A 22706-nucleotide genomic window follows, 5' to 3' on the forward strand; every position below is an offset into this window, starting at 1 on the left:
CATTGGTCTTTCGGGGAGCTTCTATCCCCAGAAAACTCTGACCTGAGCTTCTCTTGCTGCAGACAAATGCGTGTCCACTAGCTGGTCAGTGGCAATTCCTTACTCTTCCTGGGAGTTCTTGGTGGCCTCTGAGACAATCCCAAGCTGGATCTGTCTAGTATGGCCCCCATTTGCTTGTTGGCAGTGTGGTCACTTCCCAGTTGCAGCCCTGTAGGACTACACCCAGCCTTTTGCCTCTCAATCTCCAGGCATAGTAAGACACCAGTCTACAGTGTCCCAGCTCCCAGGGATATCAGGTATCCCTGAAGCTACCCTTGCTAGGCTTGAAGTGAGGGCAAGCTTGGGAGGCAGGCAGGATTCCAGGCCCACCTGCACTTCTCTCCAAGAAACCATTTCTTTGCTGCCTGGCCTCTAATAATACACTGGGGGTGGGCAGTCAGCTAAGGGCAGCCAGTGGATTTGCAGCCACCCTCTTTGACATCCCTGCTTAGGTGGCATAACAATATGTTTTGGGACGTGATAGTACAGGTGCTCCTCCAGTTAGGGTGAGGTTATATCCTGAAAAGCCCTTCAGAAGTTGAAAATATCGTAAGCCAAAAATGCATGTAATACACCTAACCTACAGAACATTATAGCTTAGCTTAGCCTCCCTTAAACGGGCTGAGAACACTTACATTAGCTTACAGTGGGGCAACATCATCTAACACAAAGCCTATTTTATACTAAAGTGTTGAATATCTCATGTAATTTATTGAATACTATACTGAAAGTAAAAAATACAATGATTGTATGGGTAATCAAAATACAGTTCCTGCTGAATGCAAATCACTTTCACATTGTCGTACAGTTGAAAAATCATAAATAGAACCATTGTTAAGTCAGGGACCTTCTTGTAAATCCCCTTCGGAGACTGGTCATTGTTTTGTTTTGGGACAGTGACCTGTTTTAACTTCTGTTATACTTGCTTGTCTAGGGTGCGTTTACCACCACCAGATTAAGACCTTTGGGAGCCTTACAAACTTAAATATATATGAAAATTAAAATGGCTTCTGTATAAATCTTCTGATAACATTATTCTGGATAGTTTCATCAAAGGTCCATCAATCACTTTCTCTTTCTTTCTCCTTTCTCCCTCCCCTCTCCATCCCCTTTTCCCTAATTCCCTTCCTGCCTTCATCTCCTTCCTTCTCTCCATCATCACTGTCTCTTTGAGCAGCTGTGCATCTGTTTAATCACAAGCCCACTGAGTTATCAAATGCTGCTCTTTACACTTTAAAAGAGAATAAAACTCCTGAGTACTGGATAAGAAAGTAACTAATGGTCATTTCCATCTACTCCACTCCTAGCCCTTTTCTAACCTATACCATTGGTTTCCAATGTGGAGGCCTAGGAATCAGGTCATGAGTGGGGTGAAGAAAGCAAAAGGATGAAATAGACTGTGAGATTGTTGTCTATGAAGCATTGTCTATAGACTGAGTGATGTCTTACACATGTATTTTCTCTTAAAAAATATGATGATGCTGTTGTAATTGTTAAAATCCATAATCATTTCAAATGTTTCTACCTGGAGAGTTGTTTAAAAATGCATTTTAACACACGACTGCTATTATGTGAGAACCTGCGAAATGCTTTCAAGCTATCAAGGTTCATTCATGTTTGAAATGGTTTTTAAAAATATATGGAGTCTTCTGTATTCTGACATGGGCAATTTTTTATGTGTAGGTGATGATCTGAATAGAGGGCAGGCTTTGTATGTCTTCAAGACATCAGTATCCATTTGCCCTCTGTAGAAATCAATGTGTTGCTTTTGATTTAGAGAAATTCTCTATCGAGACAAGCTGGGAAATGAAGAAAGCCCTAGATACCTCTTCTATTTCATGTTTTAGGCATTTATGCAGCTCTTTGCTTTATAAACCTGTCACAGAGATAAAGTGTGAGAACTTATAGTAGCTTATCGGAATCATTTATTTTTCTTTACCCTTCTAAAGAAGAACTACATAATTGTATGTACATATATATGTCAAATTTATTATACTCGAAAGAGAAGACATTCCATTTAACTACTGTCTGTACAGAGCTGTTTATAGGTTGAAAAAGAACTTGCTACAAATCTGCCGAAAAATAGAATGAATTCTTTTTAAACATATCTGCATCTCACATAACTAGATTCCAGTGATGGTCATTAATATGAGTGACACAAGGGCATTTCAATAGAATGTATTATTATGTGTATAATTGCTCATTCATGGACTGGTGGACAAGCCTCTTTCAGATGATTTCTGTACCTGTAATCAATATGTCTGTCTTTTCAGAGCATCTTGGACATTTTTAGCAGGGGAATCCTGGAAAGTGAAGCATTTCCATAGGATTTATATAGATATTTTTTAAGACAGGGTCTTGCTCTGTCACCCAAGCTGGAGCGTGGCTCAAGTGATAGTCCCACCTCAGCCTCCTGAGTAGCTGGGACTACAGGCATGTGCCACCATGCCTGGCTAACTTTTTAATTTTTTGTAGAGACAGTGTCTCACTATGGTGCCCAAGCTAGTCTTGCACTCCTGGGCTCAAGCAGATACTCCTGCCCTGGCCTCCCAAAGTGCTGGGATTACAGGCATGAGCCACTGCACCCAGACACATATTTTCATCATAAGAGCGATAGTTGAAGCTTTTCAACCTCATATGCTATTAGGTAGTATATATTGATATTTGGAACTCAGAATTGTTGTTAATTTTTTTATTCTAAAAATTATTGGGACTATCATTAATTAACTATAGCTACCTAGAAATCCTAGTCTTTGGTGGTGAAATCACTTTGTTTTCTCAACATAATGAAGTTTACCTGATATTTCCTCACAAAGGAGAGGTTACCGGTTGGAGACTTATGGAGAATCCTAGCATCTTGATACGTGGAGAGGAAAAGATGGCGAAAAGGCTTAAATTTGATGTATATTTTGTGTACAGAGTAGGGTATTTTGCCTCCTTAATGGAAACTTCACGCTAGAATGACTTCTGAGGCTATTCTGAAATTGTTGCATTTGATAATCCTTTTTAATGGCAAGCCTCCAAATGTATGGTGCTTTGTCACTAAATCCTTATCTATATAATTTTTGAGGAGACATTTCAATAACAGTTTCTTTTAAAAGTTCTAAGGTAGGTTTTTAGAAGCGTTCCTTTTTAAAAATCAGTTTTTAGCTCATGAAACTGAAATACCAGTTTTAAAAAGTCAAGGTTGAACTGAAAGGCATCATTATAATAGAGGAGCTTTGCTACATTACCTGAATTATTGTTTCCTTCTTTGCACCAAGAACAGATTAAATATGCATTCTCTTGATATCCAGTATTTGTTAGCAATTTTCAGAGTAAAGTATTGCTATTTGATTTGTTTTTCTATTCATAATCATTTGCATTTGCTAAGAGAGTGCCTTAGGTCTTTTAGATCTACTACACTGAGTGGCTCATGCTTACAGACGAAAGATGATTCTGCTTCTTTTTGTCATCCATTTGACACCCAGGGCCGTCTATGTGTTAAAATGTAGCAATAGCAATTTCTCTTCCTGGCTTCCATGTTAATGTGGCATGTGCCCCCAGGTTTTGCTTGTATTTGGAGCTCCATCTGATGTGTCAATTCCGGATTAATCTAAACCTGGGACACTGAGTTACTGACATCTGCAGTTTTAGCCTAAAGAACTAAAATTTCCACCTTTGTGTTTCTATGCAAATTAATCATCATCCAAAAAATTCTAAGACAGCACGTTGGAATCCATGCTGCGTGCCTGTCCTATAATTGCCCATATAGTCATCCCTTACTCTATTTTGTGTAATGAAATTTTAGCTCTTGTCTATTGAACTTCTCATTAGTGAAATAAATCAAATAGTTAATTTATTTGCTAAACTTATTGTAAGCACAAAAACGACATTCTCCACACCCAAAGAGGCTGCTTTCTTCAATATTTATCTTTATGTGTTTCTTTTTTCTACTTTCCATCATATCAATTTTTAAAGGGTTTTTGTTGTTATTCTTTTTCTGTTTGTTGCTTTTATCATACAGAAGCAGTGCTTACATTGAATTAAACTAATATACTCATCTTTTTTGTTTTAATGCGCTTTGCTTTCTTCTTTTCCCTTAAACGATCCCTTTGAATGTCTCCTGATGCTATAATTTTGGTAATATCTAGCACTTAAACCAATTTGAACAAGAAATGGTTTGTACAGAAAGTTATTGTCAATAATGCCACTAATACCACAAATCTTTCATGTTCTTGATTATCTTTTGAAAGTGATGTTTGTGTCTTACATCTGCTCTTCTTTCTCATTCTGCAGAAGGATATTTCAGCATTTGCTATTTTTCAGTATTCATTCTATTTTGTCGTGTATGCAGATTGCTCTCCTCTGTGTATTATTCTTCCTACAGTCAGACATGACTTAGCAATGCCGAATAGCAGACCTCGGTCACTTGGCTGACCACTCTTTTTTTTGTTAATACCTACTACATTTTTAAAGTGGTTCAACTTAGATACCTGACAAAATCAGGCTGAGAAAATTGTCTGAAGGAAAATCTCCCAAACCTAGCTTAATTAAAAAAAAAAAAATCTCATGAAGAAAGTATCTCTTCACAAACCATGTGCTGTACCAAAATGTTAGGTTTTTGTGTTTCTTTGAATTAAGGCTTAATAATGATTTTGCCTAATTCTTTAGTGATATCTCTACCATTAGTGAGTCACATGTGATTGGTCAGTTTAACATGGAAAGTAAGTTTCCTGATATTATGTATGATTAATATCAGTTATAAAAAGGTAACTAAACAGCCTGTATTTTCTAAGCCAAGGATGAAAGCTTCTTTACAATTTTTCCTTGAAATTGTAATATTGAAAATGAAAAAATTAGTCTCAACAGAATTTCCCTTTAATAATATACATATTACTATGTAAATATGTTTCAGGGAAAAATTGTAATATTTACAAATATATATATTGGAAAACTTTTCCTTGCTGTTTTTCTTACAACTAGTGTCTCTATGGTATCTTTTCTCCATAGGACTTAGACATCAACCTGACAACAAATTCAGCCCTAAGTTTGGAAATATATCATTGTTTTCTTTTTCATACTCTTTCATCTGTGTAACTCTCCTAGGAATAAGTAGTCAAAGAAACTTTAGAGGTGTAAAGAAAAATGAAGTTATTTGTAAATTTGCATATGCACACACATACGTACACATTATGTTTTGTAGAAGAAAAAAGAGCTATTATATAATTTATGAAAGGAGACTGTGTCATTTTAAGAGAAAAAGAAATGTTTTTGTGATTTTTCTGTGAAATTCACCTTTCACAATATTCAGTGTCTAAGAAATTGCTTACTGTTATTTTGCATGAAACGAGAGCCGCTCATTGCAGCATATTAGTTTACGATCTACCTTACCTGTTTTAATCTACTGTTTTTATTAAAATGAGTTGGGTTGCTGTTTGTTTTTATCACTGCATTTTTATGCAAAAGATGCAAGTTGGTTTTTTAAAAAGCATTTGCAGAGGATCAATTTTTAAGATGATACCTTTTTTGGTGCTTAAATAGGTTGTCAATGGAATCACTGAAAGTAGAGCAGCATGTTTTCACAGAAAAAGGAAGAAACTAACGTCAAAACATTTTTAAAGAGTTTTGCTTGCTACGGCTTTTCTCTAGCATGTAGTTGATACTAAGTTTTGTTGCGATAACATGGTGAATGTTTTTTTTTATGTTTATTGTTTACATAGCTCCATTTAGGATAACGGAGTCTTTATAAATAAGAGATATTTTTAAGGAAGTCTTTGAGATCGTGTCTATTTAATGTTTCCTCTCTTTTCCTTATGCCCCTACAGAAATTCATGATGAAGGTAAGACATCTTAATATATATGCTATGTATATATATAGCAGATATATTACTATATATGGATTATATATGTATGTATCTGCATATTAGTATAGCTGTATTATATATATGACAGATATATATATTACTATATATCAGCTATATATATGTGGTACTTTGTATGTTTTCTGTATGGTTATACACATTTGTTTTACTTTTGAATCCATGTAACTTTTCTTCACATGCTTTTAAAAGGTTTTTAAAAATCAAGCTTTGGAGCTTTTAAATTTAGATAAATCACGTTTAGATTTAACAACTCAACAAACAACATTTGACATTTTTGGGTCATATTGTAACATTATATTTAATTAGCTAACATTAAGAATTTCTCTTATTAAAACAATTTTAGTAGCTCTCCATTTAGAATATTCACTCTGGGGATTATGTTGACTTTGCATTTATGCCCTTTTGCATGAATACAATGGGAAATTCTTCCACTGGGAAATTAGGGGAGGCACCAAGAAACTACTTCTACTTACTCCAGGAGAAGTGAAAATAATTCAGCCAGCCCCTTATTCATTTCTCAACTAAATTGGAAAAGTGAAAATATTGTAAAAGTAGACAAATGAAAAGAGTAAAGCATGTGGACATGTCATCGAAGGAATATGTAAGGGACAGACAGGAAGAGTAGACTATGGTTATTTTAGGATATATAATAGAAAATTTTTGTTTCATTTTTGTATGCCCACTACCTTTCTCCTATAACATTTATGGGGTTTAATTTTTTTATCTTAAAAGCCAAGAAACAATGGGTAGGTAGAAAAATTGATTGATATTCCATTAATAAAGGCTTAAAAGAATTTATGATTTTGAAAGAAAGAGACTGTGAGAAATATTAAATCAAAATTCCAGATATAGATGGAAAAGATTGCTTTGAAGAAAAGGAAGCGCGTTCTTGTCAGTCTGTTGAATTTTGTGGTTAAATCCATCATGTTTAATAAAACTGAACCAGGTGCATTGTGGGACACCCTAACCTGGACCTGTTCACTACCAGTGCGAATTCGGCGTTTTGGATGGGATGACAGAACAGAGTATTTCTTTGAAGCCATCTATCAACCAGGACGTGGAACATCTTCCAGAATTTCAAATAACTCTAGCTCTTATTTTTCAGTAGAAAATATTATGATCACATTTTGAAGAGAGGACGTTAATCCCTAAATTAGACGTATCATGAAACAAGAGTTTGGGTTGGAAAAATATTTAAAACAACAGCAAAATAGGAATATTTCCTCTCTTTGCAAATACTGATAACTTATGATTTGGGGTTTGAGAAAATTTAGTTTTTCCTGCTAAATCTGCATTTGCTGTATTCATTTTATCATCTCATTCTTAATTCAACTGTACAATATTGTATGGACTTCCCCTTGGGAAGGGTGAATGAAATGGTCGCCTGAAACAGACATCTGAAGGTCTCTTGTGAGAACAAATGCATATAAAAACCAGTGCAAATAGAAAGATGATGTAGAATTAGTTAAAAGCAGGTGGTATGCCTAAAATAATTTAATTAGGCCCCCAGTTCTTTTAACTTCGAGGCCAGAAGGCCAATAGTTATTTTCACACTTGCAATGGATGATCTGGAAAGGTTAGAATTGGATTAAGGGGAGGGCATATGCATGCAATTACAGTAATTTAAGTCACGTAAACAGAAAAACATGCTGAATTTTATCTCGCTTTCACCTTTCAATCATCATGCTTTGCTTTGGGTTTCATACGGAAAAGGCATTAACTTCTTAGAACCAGATGGATGCTTTCTTGTTGTGGGAGCCTATTTCTGCTGGTTGGTGCTAAACAGTGATGCATTAGGACTGTCCTAAGCCTGATCTGTTCCCTGAGGAGACTTTCCATGAAGACACCATCCCAAGTAAGCCAGTCCATGTCAAATGGATGTCTTGACAATGTTAAACTGGCCTTTGCAGGCACCTTTATCTTCAACTGAGGCCAGGATTCTCATGGATTGTTACAGTCCTTCGGTGACCCTGTTGTGTGATTCACTACTTATTTTATTTTTTAAGAGACAGGGTTTTGCTCTGTTGCCCAGGCTGGAGTACAGTGGCATGAACATAGCTCACTGCAACCTGGAACTCCTGGGCTCCAGTGATCTTCTGGGCTCAGCCTCCTAGGTAGTTGGGATTACAAGCATGAGGCACTTTGCCTTGCTCTGGGCCAACTGTATTTAAAAAACACAGAGCCAAAAAACAAAAAAAGCAAACCAGAAAGAACAAAATATAGAGCCAGTAATTTTAATGTGTGTGTAAACCTCTTTAGTCACACACACACACACACACACACACACACACACACTGTATATATATATATATGAAATGTGTAGGCCAAGCTTTACGGTAAAAGGAGCACTTTCTGGTTAACTTCAAGACCTTGTCCTTCACTTTTAAAACATTTTGTTTTGACTAGTGTGGCTGTCAAGTGTTATTAAAGTTCACGTGGATTTTATAGCTTTGGAACATAAATCTGGTATGAAAAGGTGAGCTTCTATCAAAGTAATTCAAACCAGACAAAGTAAATAAAATTGTTCTTGGCCACAATAAATCAAATGCATTATAGAAAAAAAAGTGCTCTCTAAAGACAGCCTCATTCTCTGAAGGAGTATAGTTTTTCAAAGTAGATTTTTCCCTTTTCTTCTCAGTTATGTGAAAAAAGTGACTGTTTTGTTTTGTTTTTGTTTTTTTGTTTGTTTTTGTTTTCGAGATAGAATCTCGCTCTGTTGCCCAGGCTGGAGTGCAGCGGTGTGACCTCGGCTCACTGCAACCTCTGCCTCCCGGGTTCAAGCCATTCTTCTGTCTCAGCCTCCTGAAAGTAGCTGGGATTACAGGCGCCCGCCACCATGCCCAGCTAATTTTTGTATTTTTGTATTTTAGTTTCACAGTGTTGGCCAGGCTGGTCTTGAACTCCTGACCTCACACGATCCACCTGTCTTGGTCTCCCAAAGTTCTGGGATTACAAGCGTGAGCCACTGCGTCTGGCCCCCCAAAAAAAGTGGTTTTTCAGCAGTTTTTCTTATTTTAATACCTTTTAATATCTGTTTTTAGAATAGTTCTGAGTTTTTTCAAACAAAACATAAAGTTATTTTGAGAAACTATATGGAACAACAAGAATGTGATATTTGTTTAATAAAAAGGTTGTAATAATATTGGATATTAAAGCATCTTTCTGTACTTCTTAAGGCACAGGTCAGTATCATCACTCTTATTCTGAAAATTTTTAAAGACCTCCTTTTCCTGCAAAAAGAATTACAAACTTCTCGTCATAATATTTTGTACCTTCCATGGTCTTTCCCTGATCTAATTTTATAATTCCTGTGAAGTTTTTCTGTGCAACCCAACACTAAAATTCCATGATTGCTTCCTCCTTCTTACACACCTTGTGATTATATACCATGACCCCTTTATACATACTCCTTACTCAGCCTGAAGTGAGCTTCCCCATATCCAGTTTTTCATTTGACAGTTGTTTACTGAGTACTTACCATGGCCTGACCTCACGCTCATAGCTGGAGGTGAAATGATAATCAGGACAGCGTCATTGTCCTTCAGGAGTTTTCAGTCTGATCAAGGGGAGGAGGGTTCTTGTGTAGAGTGTAAGGCCAATGTACATGTGTATACCTAGGGCTGCAGGAGGATGGGGAGAGTGAGTAGCTTTGAGGAAACTGGATGAGGCTTCATAGAGAAGGTAGTCTTTAATCAGAGTTTTAAAAAGTAGAGGGAGAAAAAAATCTGAGTATAAATGGGGCTGTGCAATTCAAACCTGTGTCGTTAAAGAGTCACATGTACATAAAATATGTAAAAGTTTCATTCCATTCTTATAAAAACTTTATTAAATTATAACATCAATACATATTTATTCTATACAGTTTGGAAGTTACAGAAGAAAAATCCTTCAATTACACTAATAGAAAAAAACTACTGGAGGCTTTCCTATTAAAAAGGCTTTATAAGGCAGGGAAGACTAGAGAGAGGGAATGTTGTATTCCGAGATGGGGCAGCATGAAAGCAGTATGGCATATTCAGGGAAGGGAAAGTGGGTATGTTTGGAGCACAGGATGATTGAAGATGAGGCTAGAGATGAGTGAGACAAATGTCTCTCTGTGCTTCTCAAAGTAGTCTCTGGACCAACGGCATCAGCATCACCTGGAAAATTATTGAAATGAAACTTCTCTGTGTCTACCCCAGACCTACTGAATCAAAATCCCAGTGGTAAGGGCCAGGAATCTGTGTTTTTACAAGCTCTCCAATTTAAGAAGCACTCTTCTATTTCATGGAAAGGGATTGATTGGACTCTTCCCTATAAGCAATTGGGAGGAATGAGAAGTTTTTAAGCCTGGAGGCATTATGATCAATTTTGTGTTCTAGGAATACTCATTCGTTGAATCAACGTTTATTTATTTATTTATTTATTTATTTATTTATTTATTTATTAAGATAGAGTCCTGCTCTGTTGCCCAGGCTGGAGTGCAATGGTGCAATCTCAGCTCACTGCAACCTCCACCTCCCGGGTTCAAGCAGTTATCCTGCCTCAGCCTCCCGAGTAGCTGGGATTACAGGCAGGCATCACCACGCCCAGCTAATCTTTGTAGTTTTACTAGAGATGGGGTTTTGCCATGTTGGCCAGGTTGGTCTCGAACTCCTGACCTCAGGTAATCGCCCGCCTCGGCCTCCCAAAGTGCTGGGATTACAGGCATGAGCCACCACGCCTGGCCTGAATCAACATTTATTTAGTGCCTCTTGTATGTTCCGCATGCAGGTAGGCACCTGGAATACAATGGTGACTAAGGTACCATGGTTCCCACCCAGTGGAAACCATAATATAATGGGAAAGAGATTATTATTAAGTACATTATGAGTAAATAACTATAATTATGATAATTATTTACTGATACCAAGTTTATTTTTCAAGAACTAGATAAAATGCTAATCCCATAATAGAGGTTACATTAACTTTACTCCAATGTATACATTATTTCAACAGCACTTTGCTTGTCTGCAAGAGCTCTTAATACATTCTTTCCTACTAACGTTCCTTTGAGAGCAAGAGAGTATTTTATCAACTTGGTTAAGTTACTCTTTTGTGTTTTTCTCTCTTGTTCTCCTTTTTTCTCTTCTCTCTAAAGACTGCTCAAGGTGGTGGTCATCGAACACTCCTCTACGGACATGCCATATTGCTGCGCCATTCCTATAGTGGCATGGTGAGTAGGCATTTGATTTCATCTCCCTGTGGTCATGCTGATCCATTTGGGGGTACATGGTCTGCAAATGCTGGTAGCATCATTTCTGCAATGGTATTAATGAGCTTGGATGTTTGTGTTCTTTCATATCTTTGTACCCTTGTTAGTTTCTCATGTAAAAGATGAAAGTCAGCTCAGATGACTTTTAAGGTCCTTTAATTCTATCATTATATGATTACCATCTTCAGTATCTTACTTTTGATAGAGTAGTTTTAGGAGGAGAGAGGTGTAAGAGTCAAATAAGAGATATTTTCTTTTCTGATTTTGTTTTGAAGAGTTCATTTATTAGAGAAATAAGGTATCTTTATTGAAAGATCAGATTTAAGAAAATCTACCTGTGAGCTCCAATATTAATTGTACTCACCAACTTCTTTTTCTTCTTCACCAGGTTTCTCTTTTACCACATCTGCTCCTCCTTTCACCCAGTTATTCACTAGGCTTCTCTTGGGCACAGTTTTCTTATTCTTTGCCTCATGTATATATGCACATATATATGTGTATATATGTAAATGTTTTAAATATATATTTTATAAATACTTTAATGTATTCTTAGCTATTACATATACAGCTGACCCTTGAACAACACAGGAGTTAGGGGTGCCAATCTCCTTCACAGTAGGAAGTCACATATAACTTTTGATTCCCTCAAAAGATAACTATTAATATCCCCCTGTTGACCAGAAGCCTTACCAATACCAGTCAACACATATTTTTTGTATGTATTATATACTGTATTATAATAAAGTAAGCTAGAGAAAAAATATTAAGAATATCGAAAGAAAAAAATATTTTCTACACATAAAGTGGAAATGGATCATCATAAAGATTTTCATTCTCATTGTCTTCGTGTCAAATAGGCTAAGGAGGAGGAAGAGGAGGAACTGGTTTTGCTGTCTCAGGAATGGTAGAGGGGGAAGAACATCTTAGTAAGTGGGCCCGTGCAGTTGAAACCTGTGTTGTTCAAGGGTCAACTGTATATAAAATATGTTAAAAATATGCAAAAGTTTCATTCCATTTTTTTTTTTTTTTTTGAGACGGAGTCTGGTTCTGTTGCCCAGGCTGGAGTGCAGTGGCGCGATCTCGGCTCACTGCAAGCTCCGCCTCCCAGGTTCACGCCATTCTCCTGCCTCAGCCTCCTGAGTAGCTGGGACTACAGGTGCCCGCCACCACACCCAGCTAATTTTTTGTATTTTTAATAGAGACAGGGTTTCACCGTGTTAGCCAGGATGGTCTCGATCTCCTGACCTGGTGATCCGCCTGCCTCGGCCTTCCGGAGTGCTGGGATTACAGGCATGAGCCACCGCGCCCGGCCTCATTCCATTCTTATAAGAGCTTTATTAAATTATAAAAGCAATACATATTCTATACGATTTGGAAGTTGCAGAAGAAAAATTCTGATCACACTAATAGGAAAAAACTGTTGGAGGCTTTTAAAAAAAGTTTTAATCTCTTCTGTCCTTAAGGCTTTTTTTTTTTAAACATAATTGAGATGTTACTACGTTACCAAATTTATATCATTTTGTTTTTTGAGATAGGGTCTTGCTGTCACCCAGGCTGAGGTGCAGTGGTATGATCATGGCTAACTATAGCCTTGAACTCCGGGACTCAAGTGATTCTCTTGCTTCAACCTCCTGTGTAGCTAGGACTACAGGTGTGTGCTACCACGCCTGGCTAATTTTTAAATTTATTGTAGAGATGGGAGTCTCACCATCTTTCCTAAGCTGGTCTTGAGCTCCCAGGCTGAAACGATCCTCTCGCCTTGGCCTCCCAAAGTCCTGGGATTACAGGCATGAGCCACCATGCCCGGCATGATTTTCTTTTCCTTTTCTTGTAACATAAGCATTTTCCATGTTGTTTATATTGTCAACATAATTTTAGTGGCAACATGATAGTTCAATATCTAGAATATTATACAATATCTGTAATAATATACTTGATCATTCCTTTTAAAAAGTAGATGATTCCTGTATTATGTAAATTGTTCTAAAGCAGAAGACTACGTATCAATAACACTATCCAACTGGATTAAGAAAATGTGGCACATATACGCCATGGAATACTATGCAGCCATGAAAAAGGATGAGTTTATGTCCTTTGTAGGGACATGGATGAAGCTGGAAACCATCATTCTCAGCAAACTATCGCAAGGACAAAAAACCAAACACTGCATGTTCTCACTCATAGGTGGGAATTGAACAGTGAGAACACTTGGACACAGGAAGGGGAACATCACACACCGGGGCCTGTCGTGGGGTGGGGAGAGATGGGAGGGATAGCATTAGGAGATATACCTAATGTGAATGACAAGTTAATGGGTGCAGCACACCAACATGGCACATGGCACATGTATACGTATGTAACAAACCTGCACATTGGGCACATGTACCCTAGAACTTAAAGTATAATAAAAAATAAAAATAAAAAATACCACTATCCAACAAGGGCACACAAATTTTCAATCTCAATCATGGATATTTATGTGATAATTTGATTTTAATTGTCTATTTAATGAAATTCAAAAGTATAGGATGAGAAGTATAGGAAATACATGGACGTGATTTTAATGATGATTTAATAATATCATTTCTTTTAATGTGTTACATCACATGAATAGGTCAGATAAGAAAACTTGTGATCATGTTAGCAAGTGCTGGAAAAGGTTTTTAATAAAATTCAATGCTCATTCTTAATGAAAACTAAACATTGATTAATTCCTCAGTGATAAAGATTATCAGTGTCAGATCAATAGTGAATATTGTAATTGTGAAATGCTGAAGCCATTTTTTAAATCAAATTAACTAAAATAAGAATATGTTTTATCTACCATTGCTAACTAACATTGTTCTGGAAATTTTGGCTGACATGTCAAGATATAAAACAACATAAAACAGTTTCATAAAGTGGTTGGATGTAAGAAAAATATGTAAAAACAATTTGTATAGAGCAATCACATATTAAAATTTAATGAAAACAATTCCACATTCTACAGCAATCAAAACACATGAACTGCATGAGCTAATAAATGTGAGGGTTTCTTTTAAGACAACTACTCTCTATACATAATAGTTGGGTTAAGAGCCTCAACTTGGTTGTTAGATTTGGATTCAGTCTGTTTGCCACATGCTGGACAGCCTGGGATATTTTGCATAATCAAGCCTGTAATTACACCTGAAATTTTTATACATTCATTAAATAAATATTATTTGGCATCTACTATGTGCTAGGTACTGTTTTAGGTCCTGGATATAGTAGTGAATAAGACCAAGTTCTTGCTCTCTTTAATTAACACTTAGTAGAATAATCATAGTATCTACCTCAGAGTTACTAGAAACATTAAGGAGAAAGCATATGTTAATAGTTATAGGTACAGTGCCTAATACTGTACTTGTTATTGAAAAAATTACAAAAGACTTTAATAGGAATCACTTCATGTTTGTCTGGGAAGTCTGATTATTGCAAAGTTGTTACCTTTTTAAAAAATAAAGGCAGATGTTAAGCACAATTTATATTTAAAGTCTATAAACATAGGGGATTATCGTGGGCTACCTGTCTTGAGGTCAGACTGACATTTCTGCTGTGGCTAAAAACAAGTTTAGGGACCCTGGGAGCCTCTTGGCTATAACCTTGGGAGCCATTTCTTTGTAGTTAAGAGTCAGAATCAGAATCTGCAGGTCAATTTGATTTCACATCCCCATGGCACTGAATTCCACCTAACATACCAGCATATCTGCCACCGATTGGTTCATCTGCCTTCTCACACTCACAGACACACACCTAGCTGGATGGGCCCTGTACCATAATAAGACATTTCTAGCCTTTGCATTATTTTTCCAGTGATTCTAAAGGGGGCTTGCTGGCAGTGCACTTGCTTCGTGATGGTAGTGTACTTCGAGTTCCTACCACATTCGTCTTTGTATCTCTGTTCTTACAACACATTCATCTTTGTGTCTCTGTTCTTACAACACTTTGTGGCATGGGGGTTGGGGAGCAGTAGGCTTGAAAAATGATCCTAAACTTTATGTCCAAGAATATACAGTTAGGAACACGTAAGGGTGGGAAGAATAAGGAGATGATGGTGTTGCAAGAGTGATTACTCCTGTGGAAATGCACGTGTATGTAGACACACAATAAACCTCATTTTAGTGCAGTGACATGCTGTGCACCAAAATAAATTCTAGGTGGATTTCAAAGAGTTAAACATTTTTAAATGGAAACAAAACTAGAAGATAAAAGAGAATAGTCTTCAAATTTGTTTGGGAGAAAGATTTCTAACTGTCAGACTACATTGTACTTTTGCAGATGATCATGAATATCACATGAAGTGAGAGATGTACAAATACATCCCCAGTTACTTGTCTTCCTGTACTGACAGAGAACATTTCCTTTGTCTTTTATAAGGGAAGAAAAGACTACAATTCCTTTAGGATATTGCCCCTAATGCATGCTGTTCTGCCTCACAGACATTTAAAAATCTGGGCTTTGTGCAGAAGCATCCAGATTTTCAGGAAAACAGTGAGAACAGTAGGGATAGATGGATGCCAAATTACAGGTCAGAATAAGACTCTGCTGGTACAACTATAAACCTTAACGATGGCTGGTCACTGTGGCTCATGCCTATAATCCCGGCACCTTGGGAAGTGGAGGTGGGAGATTGCTTGAGTTTAGGAGTTTGAGATCACCTTGGGCAACATAGGGAGATCTCATCTCTATGGAAAAAAAAAAAAAATTAACCAGGTGTAGTGGTGCACACCTGTGGTCCCAGCTACTTGGGAACCTGAGGTAGGAGGATCACTTGAGTCTAGGAGTTCAAGGCCAGCCTGGGCAACATGGTGAAACCATATCTCTACAAAAAAGAAAATAATTAGCCAGGCATGGTGGCATGTGCCTGTAGTCCCAGCTGCTCAGGAGGCTGAGGTGGGATGACTGCTTGAGCCCAGGAGGTTGAGGCTGCAGTGAGCTGTGATCACGCCACTGCACTTCCAGCCTGAGCTACAGAGCAACCTTGTCTCAAACACAAACAACAGACGAACAAAACCTCTACTTACAACTACTGATTTTGTACTTTGTAGTATCTGTGCTGCCTGTCCACCTCCCGGTCTTCAACTGATAAGCTGGCTTTTGATGTTGGCTTGCAAGAGGACACCACAGGTAAGCATCTTGTGCTGCGGGAAGCCAGGTTCAGAGAGAACCCTGCAGGGGTTGGATTGGAAGAAGCCGGGAAATACGATACATGGGATGAATGTTCTTATGGATGGAGTCAGGAAAGAATGTTCTAATGAAAGTTTTTCCTAGAAGGGGAAAGTGTATATCATTCCTCTTGGTTATTCCCACATCATTAGTTGGATGTTCAAACTAGGCTTCAAACCTTATTCTTCTTGTAGGTTTGGATAGAAAATTAATATTTACTACATGATTTACTGGGTGTTAGCCATATTAATGTACACTAATTAGTTTGTGAAGTAATTCTACATGTCTCTCTCAAAAATGTTTTTAAGTCTGAAAATATAACATACTTGATGCCAACATTCAAATAAAAAGATAAAAAATGAAAGTCTCCTTAATTTCTCTGCCCACAGGGCATTATTCTACATACCTGTCCAAGCAGACATGCATTTTCAGATTTGTGAAACAAAAATGTATATATTAACACTTTTTTTTGGAGAATCAAAATAGGAGAACACAAACTTGATGTTCTTCTCAATACTCTGAGGACTTTGCATTGACTTTATATATCCCTATAAAATTGGACTGTTTTGTCTTTTACAATGAGCATGCATCACTTTGTAATTAAAAATAAAGACCAAGTAGAAAAAAGAATGGAAGGAAATAGTTCAACTTTTATTAAGTTGTTCCCTTCAAGAGTGAGATCAAGCTATCCTCTCACTCCACTCCCCCTCTTAAAAGTATTTACCCATATTTACTAAATCTTTTACAAACAACAAAAAGGTGAAAACAAAGCTATGTTTACCAGCCTCATAAACTTTTTAATAGACCAATGCATCGTCTTATAAAAGAAATTCCAAGAACCCCTGGCACCAGAAAGATAAATAAATATATTATTCTGATTTTGTTTTGTACAGGCTCTATCATTCCTCTGTATTTTTGCTAGTTTTTTAGTTTTCTTATTCTAGTTAATGTATTTCAGCACACAGTTAAATGAGAAAGTTGTCAGTTCTCTCTTCAAAAGAAGTAAAAGACGCAGTCTAGAATTTGTTTTCATACATTGAGAAGATTATGTAATAGTCAAAACAAAACAAGTCAGTGTTTTCTCCCTGCGTCCTGATTTCCTTATGCTACTCTGTTTTTTCCCGTAGTTCCCTACCTCTTCTGAATTCCTCAATTATTTATTGTATTTATTATTTGTTGTCTGCCTGCCTTCATCAGAATTAAACTCACAAGGCAGATAATTTTTTCTTCCTTCTTTTTTGATGTATCCCAGCTACTAAAGCAATGGTTAGCCAATAGTGGGTACACTATAAATGTTTGAATGGATGAAAAGCTACCTGCAACTGTAAAAATGTGAATTGGATGAATGAAGATAAAGAATTCTGCCAGGTGACATTCAGGTTAGATTATGGTTTGTGTAAGAAAAGCAAGTTAGACTATGGTTTATGTAAGAAAAAACACAGATTACATGTTGACTGTAAGAATACTTACAAAATATTGCTTGGTAATTCACTTATTCACTCATGCAAAATGAATTTGTGGTGAGGGCCTATAATAGGCTAGCAGGAGCTGGAGAAACCTCAGTAAACAAAACATACCAAGTCCCACTGTTAGGGACTTACATTCTGGCATTGAGGAATTAGGAAAAAAAAGAGTTATGGAAACACCATAAAGTTGAGTGAAGGTAAAGAATGGTAAATGATGACGGATATCATGAAAACACTCCTCTGATTTTGGGATAGAAGTTGCATTTAGGTTTTCAAAGGTATTATGAACAGAATGAAGAATGGCATGCTGAAGCTTCTATGTTAGGTATTGGGAAGAAAGAGTGAAGAAGAGACATGTGGCTCATGAGGCTTATGCTTGACTTGTGCTAGAAGAAATTGTTTGGTTGATGTAAACCAAGATCTTTTATAATTCATTTTTCTTTAGAAGGATTCTCTTATATGTTACCTTTAGATTAATAGAAAACACCACATTTTAAAATAATAAAGTAGAAAGGGGACAGGATAGTACAATCTTTAGATGATAATACTTTGCATCCTTTTTTGAGTCAGCATCCAAAAATAACTACTGAGAACATTTTCAAAAAATTGTTACAATTGTCACGTCACAAAACCCCAAGTCCTTATGAAAATTGACAAAAAACAAGATGATTTTATAGAAAGGAATTGGACAGTATAATGACATGTGAGTGTGTAAAGAATGAAATCAGATCAGTGTGAGTGGTGAATTTAGCCTTAGATGAGTATAAATAAACATCGCTTTAAAGCAATTCTTAGTGGAAGAAAAAGACATCAACCTTCCCTAAGTGTCACACCCAGTTTCTAGGAGAAGAATCTTATTTTATCCTAAGCTAAGGCTTAATTCTTTCTCTTTTCATGGTGTAAGAGATTAATTTGCATTAATTCCGGATTTCTGAAAGTTGTGTGTTGGGAATCATTGGCAAAGAAAATAGATTTTAATTAAGAGGAACTTTTTCATGTTTCACATATCCGTATATCTGCAGGGGAGGCTTGTTGGTGGACCATACACCCTGCCTCTAAGCAGCGATCAGAAGGAGAAAAAGTACGAGTTGGAGATGACCTCATCTTAGTTAGCGTGTCCTCTGAAAGGTACTTGGTAAGTGTGGAAAGTAGGATCATGTATCTGCTGATATGCTAAATGACAAGTCAATAAAATGATCTCTTTAAGGTTTATATTGTAAATTATCTATGAAAATTGCTTATAACCATTCCTCTATCTCTATTAGATTAATTATAAATAACTTCCTAAACGGAAGAATAATGTGATGTGGGTGCAAATATAGCTTATCAGGTTGTTCAGGCAGGCTTCCCTCATAACCTTGATATGCATGTTCATGATATTGATAGTACCTTTTAATAAATTACTTTATTGATAGAATGTAAATGCAGTCTAATCAGGAATTAAAAATTCTATGGTCTTTATTTTGCACCTGATGAAAAGGCTATATTAATGAGGTTGTGATTACCTATTCTGATATTTATGAAAGCAAATTATTATGTGAGGAACACATGCCATGTTAAGAAGGGAGAAATAGACAAAAGAAGAAATAGTTTGAAGTCTATCATTGACACTGCATTGTTTCAAAGAGTAGGGGCTGGAAATGGGAGAATGAAGGAAGAAGTTTGTGTTTAATCATGAAATGCTGTCTTAGTCTGTTTTCATGCTGATGATAAAGACACACCCAAAACTGGGCAATTTACAAAAGAAAGAGGTTTGTTGGACTTACAGTCATGGTGGAAGGTGAAAGACACGTCTCATGTGGCAGCAGACAAGAGACAAGAGCTTGTGCAGGGGAACTCCTCTTTTTAAAACCATTAGATCTCATGAGACTTATTCACTATCATGAGAACATGGGAAAGACTTGACCCCCATTATTTAATTACCTCCCACCGGGTCCCTCCCACAACATGTGGGAATTCAAGATGAGATTCGGGTGGGGACACAGCCGAACCATATCAAATGCATTTTGAACTTTTGTGGTAAGGTCAATATGTATTTAATTTAACTTATTTAGTAAGTTGTAGTTTTGCCAGAGAGTAGTCCAATACAGAAGTTTACAGTAAATTGAAATGAAGTAAGTTGAAATGAAGATGTGAAGGATGCTAGAGCAAAATATTCATTTTAAGGTTGAAAGGTGACTAAATAAATATAAAATGGGGCATTGTAAACTTTATATGAATATTCACATGAAAAATCCCAGGCATCACAGTGTGTGATGATTGAAACAAAAATCTGAAATAGGGCATGTGGCAATTTAGCAGATACCGGGTTATAGAAAGTATTTTACCACTACCATAAATCAAAATGTAGTTCATGTGTTACTGGTTTAGGATTAAGTAAGTAGTTGATACCCCCTTTGTTCTATAAACATGAAATAGGGTAAGTTTGGGGATGTTGTAAGTCAGTTTTGGTTTACCAATACATTTAATTCCAGATTTGAAACATTTCTAGGAAGATTGGTTTTGTTTTGTTTCACTTGCCTTGTAGAAGAGGTAATGATGAAGACAAGGAAATGGTATAACAGTGTCTCGTGTAACTGACAGAAACTATTAAATTAAATGGAGTGTCTGATGTTGCGTAGCTATAGGGAGACCTGGAGCATTTTTCTACTTTTGTCCCTTAACCAATGTAGGTAGAAATAGTCACCATGCGAATTTCTAGGACAATACAGGTGTGCAGATTGTAAAATAAGCATTAATTAAGCTCTTGCTATATGCATGTGCTATGTATGTTAAGATGATGTATTTTGATCAGATATGCATTTTGAATTGTAGTTGTACCTGGAAACCAATAGCAGTAGAAATAATTCATGCACACTTTTAATATATAAATTATACACATACTTTATTTAGATTTTGACATAACTATGAATTTTTTCTTGTTGTTGTTGTTGTTTTACAATTTGTACTTCCGCTACGTATCAGAGTTTATTTGACAGGATGGCATCATTATGCACTGAAAAATGGAAAATTCAGACCTCACAGGGCCAGGACTTCTAACATCTATTCTACAACTAACTACCTGAGAAAGTCATCTAATTCTCTGAACTCTGGCTTTCTCATCTGTAAAAAATGAGGTTGATGCTGATAATCATGCATAGTGCCAAGGTTATTGTGAGGAAGCAATGAGATAATGGATTTAAATATGGGCAGAATTAAAAAGCACTACACAAGTGAAAGCAATAATAATGATGATAAGTGAGGTTTACCTCCTATAGAAGGAAATAAACCTCATGATTAATTAAAATTTACAAGTGATTTCCAAACTACATTTTATTGTTTTTTTTATTTTATTTTATTTATTTTTTGAGACAGGATCTTGCCCTGTGGCCCAGGCTGGAGTACTGTGGCCATCATAGCTCACAGAAGCCTCAACCTCCTATTCTCCCCAGTCAGCCTCCCGAGTGGCTGGGACTACAGGCATGAGCCACACCTTGCCCAGCCTGTGCTACATAGCCAATTATTTATGTTCTCTTTCCTGGTAATCTTTTATATGGAGCTATAAGAGAGCAGCCAACCAGGTTGTTAAAATTTCACTTTCATTTGATAATGAAGTCGTTGCTTTTATTGTTGATCTCTATGGACCTAGCATATAGCAGAAACAACAGGAAAGGCCAAGGACACATCACTCATGCTTTCTAACCTCAAATAATTAGTGGAGAAAACAAATCAAACACATACAGAGCTGTATGAGGATATTGTAAGACAGTAAATACGCATTACAGTATAGCTTAGAGATGCTGAAGGACATTCCTATGGGTATAGAGATGGTGAATTATTATTTTACATTCCCACCATGGTGGATAGTAGCGGGTATATGAAGTACTATGGTGTGGATTCAAAGACTTATTTGGAGGACTCAGTGAAAAGGATCTAGAGAAACTGAAAGATCAAGAAGTGAGTTCGTGAAAGGACTTTGGGATAGGCAGAGGGAGTTGAAATAATCTATAGAATAAACCCTGAATAACTAAAGTTGGGCTGTGTGTATATATATGCACACTTGCCTTGTAGAATACACAAATATATATATATATATATATATATATATATATATATATATATATATATATATATATATATATAGTAAATACGAAGTCTGGTGAGTATGAACCTGGGCTAATCATGTAACCTTTAGAAACCCTCAGTTCCTTCATCTGGAGTCTGGGGAATAATAAAGAACTTAACTCATAGGGGTGTTACGGGATTAAATGCTGGAATCCAACAAGGCTCGTAGTTCTGTGAATGGCACATAAAAATTATTTAGTAAGTTACTGTCACTATTTACTTGGGAGATTTGTGCCTGTTAAGAATGGTTAAAGAAGTTAGGCATGGTAGCTTATGCCTGTAATCCCAGCACTTTGGGAGGCCAAGGCGGGAGGATCACTTTAGGCCAGGAGTTTAAGACCAGCATAGCCAAAAAGCAAGACCCTGTCTCTACTAAAAAATACAAAAATTAGGCCAGGCGCGGTGGCTCATGCCTGTAATCCCAACACTCTGGAAGGCCGAGGCGGGTGGATTACCTGAGGTCAGGAATTCAGGACCAGCCTGGCCAACATGGTGAAGCCCCGTCTCTACTAAAAATACAAAAATTAGCCAGGCGTGGTGGCAGGTGCCAGTAATCCCAGCTACTTGGGAGGCTGAGACAGGAGAATTGCTTCAACCCAGGAGGCAGATGTTGCAGTGAGCTGAGATCGCACCATTGCATTCCAGCCTGGGCGACAAGAGTGAAATTCCATCTCAAAAGAAAAAAAAGAAATGATCTGGGCTTGGTGGTGCACACCTGTAATCCCAGCTACTAAGGAGGCTGAGGCAGGAAAATCGCTTGAACTGGGGAGGCGGAGGTTGCAATGAGCCGATATTGTGCCTCATGCCACTGCA

General features: G+C 36.9%; 1 protein-coding gene across 18 annotated transcripts in view; it reads left to right on the forward strand.

Moving 5' to 3' along the window:
- RYR2 (ryanodine receptor 2) overlaps positions 1-22706 on the forward strand; it is a 791805-nt gene that overhangs the window by 316328 nt on the left and 452771 nt on the right. For all 18 annotated transcript variants that reach the window (XR_007062490.1, XR_002957299.2, XM_006711802.4 and 15 more), the window contains 4 exons: positions 5847-5861; positions 11023-11097; positions 16206-16284; positions 18812-18924. Coding sequence is in view for 16 of the 18 variants with exons in the window: in XM_006711802.4 (XP_006711865.1) it covers positions 5847-5861; positions 11023-11097; positions 16206-16284; positions 18812-18924 (282 nt within the window). In the remaining 2 variants the exon portion in view is untranslated. The remainder of the gene's footprint in view (positions 1-5846; positions 5862-11022; positions 11098-16205; positions 16285-18811; positions 18925-22706) is intronic.

Source organism: Homo sapiens, chromosome 1, assembly GCF_000001405.40.
Source record: "Homo sapiens chromosome 1, GRCh38.p14 Primary Assembly".
NCBI lineage: Eukaryota > Metazoa > Chordata > Mammalia > Primates > Hominidae > Homo > Homo sapiens.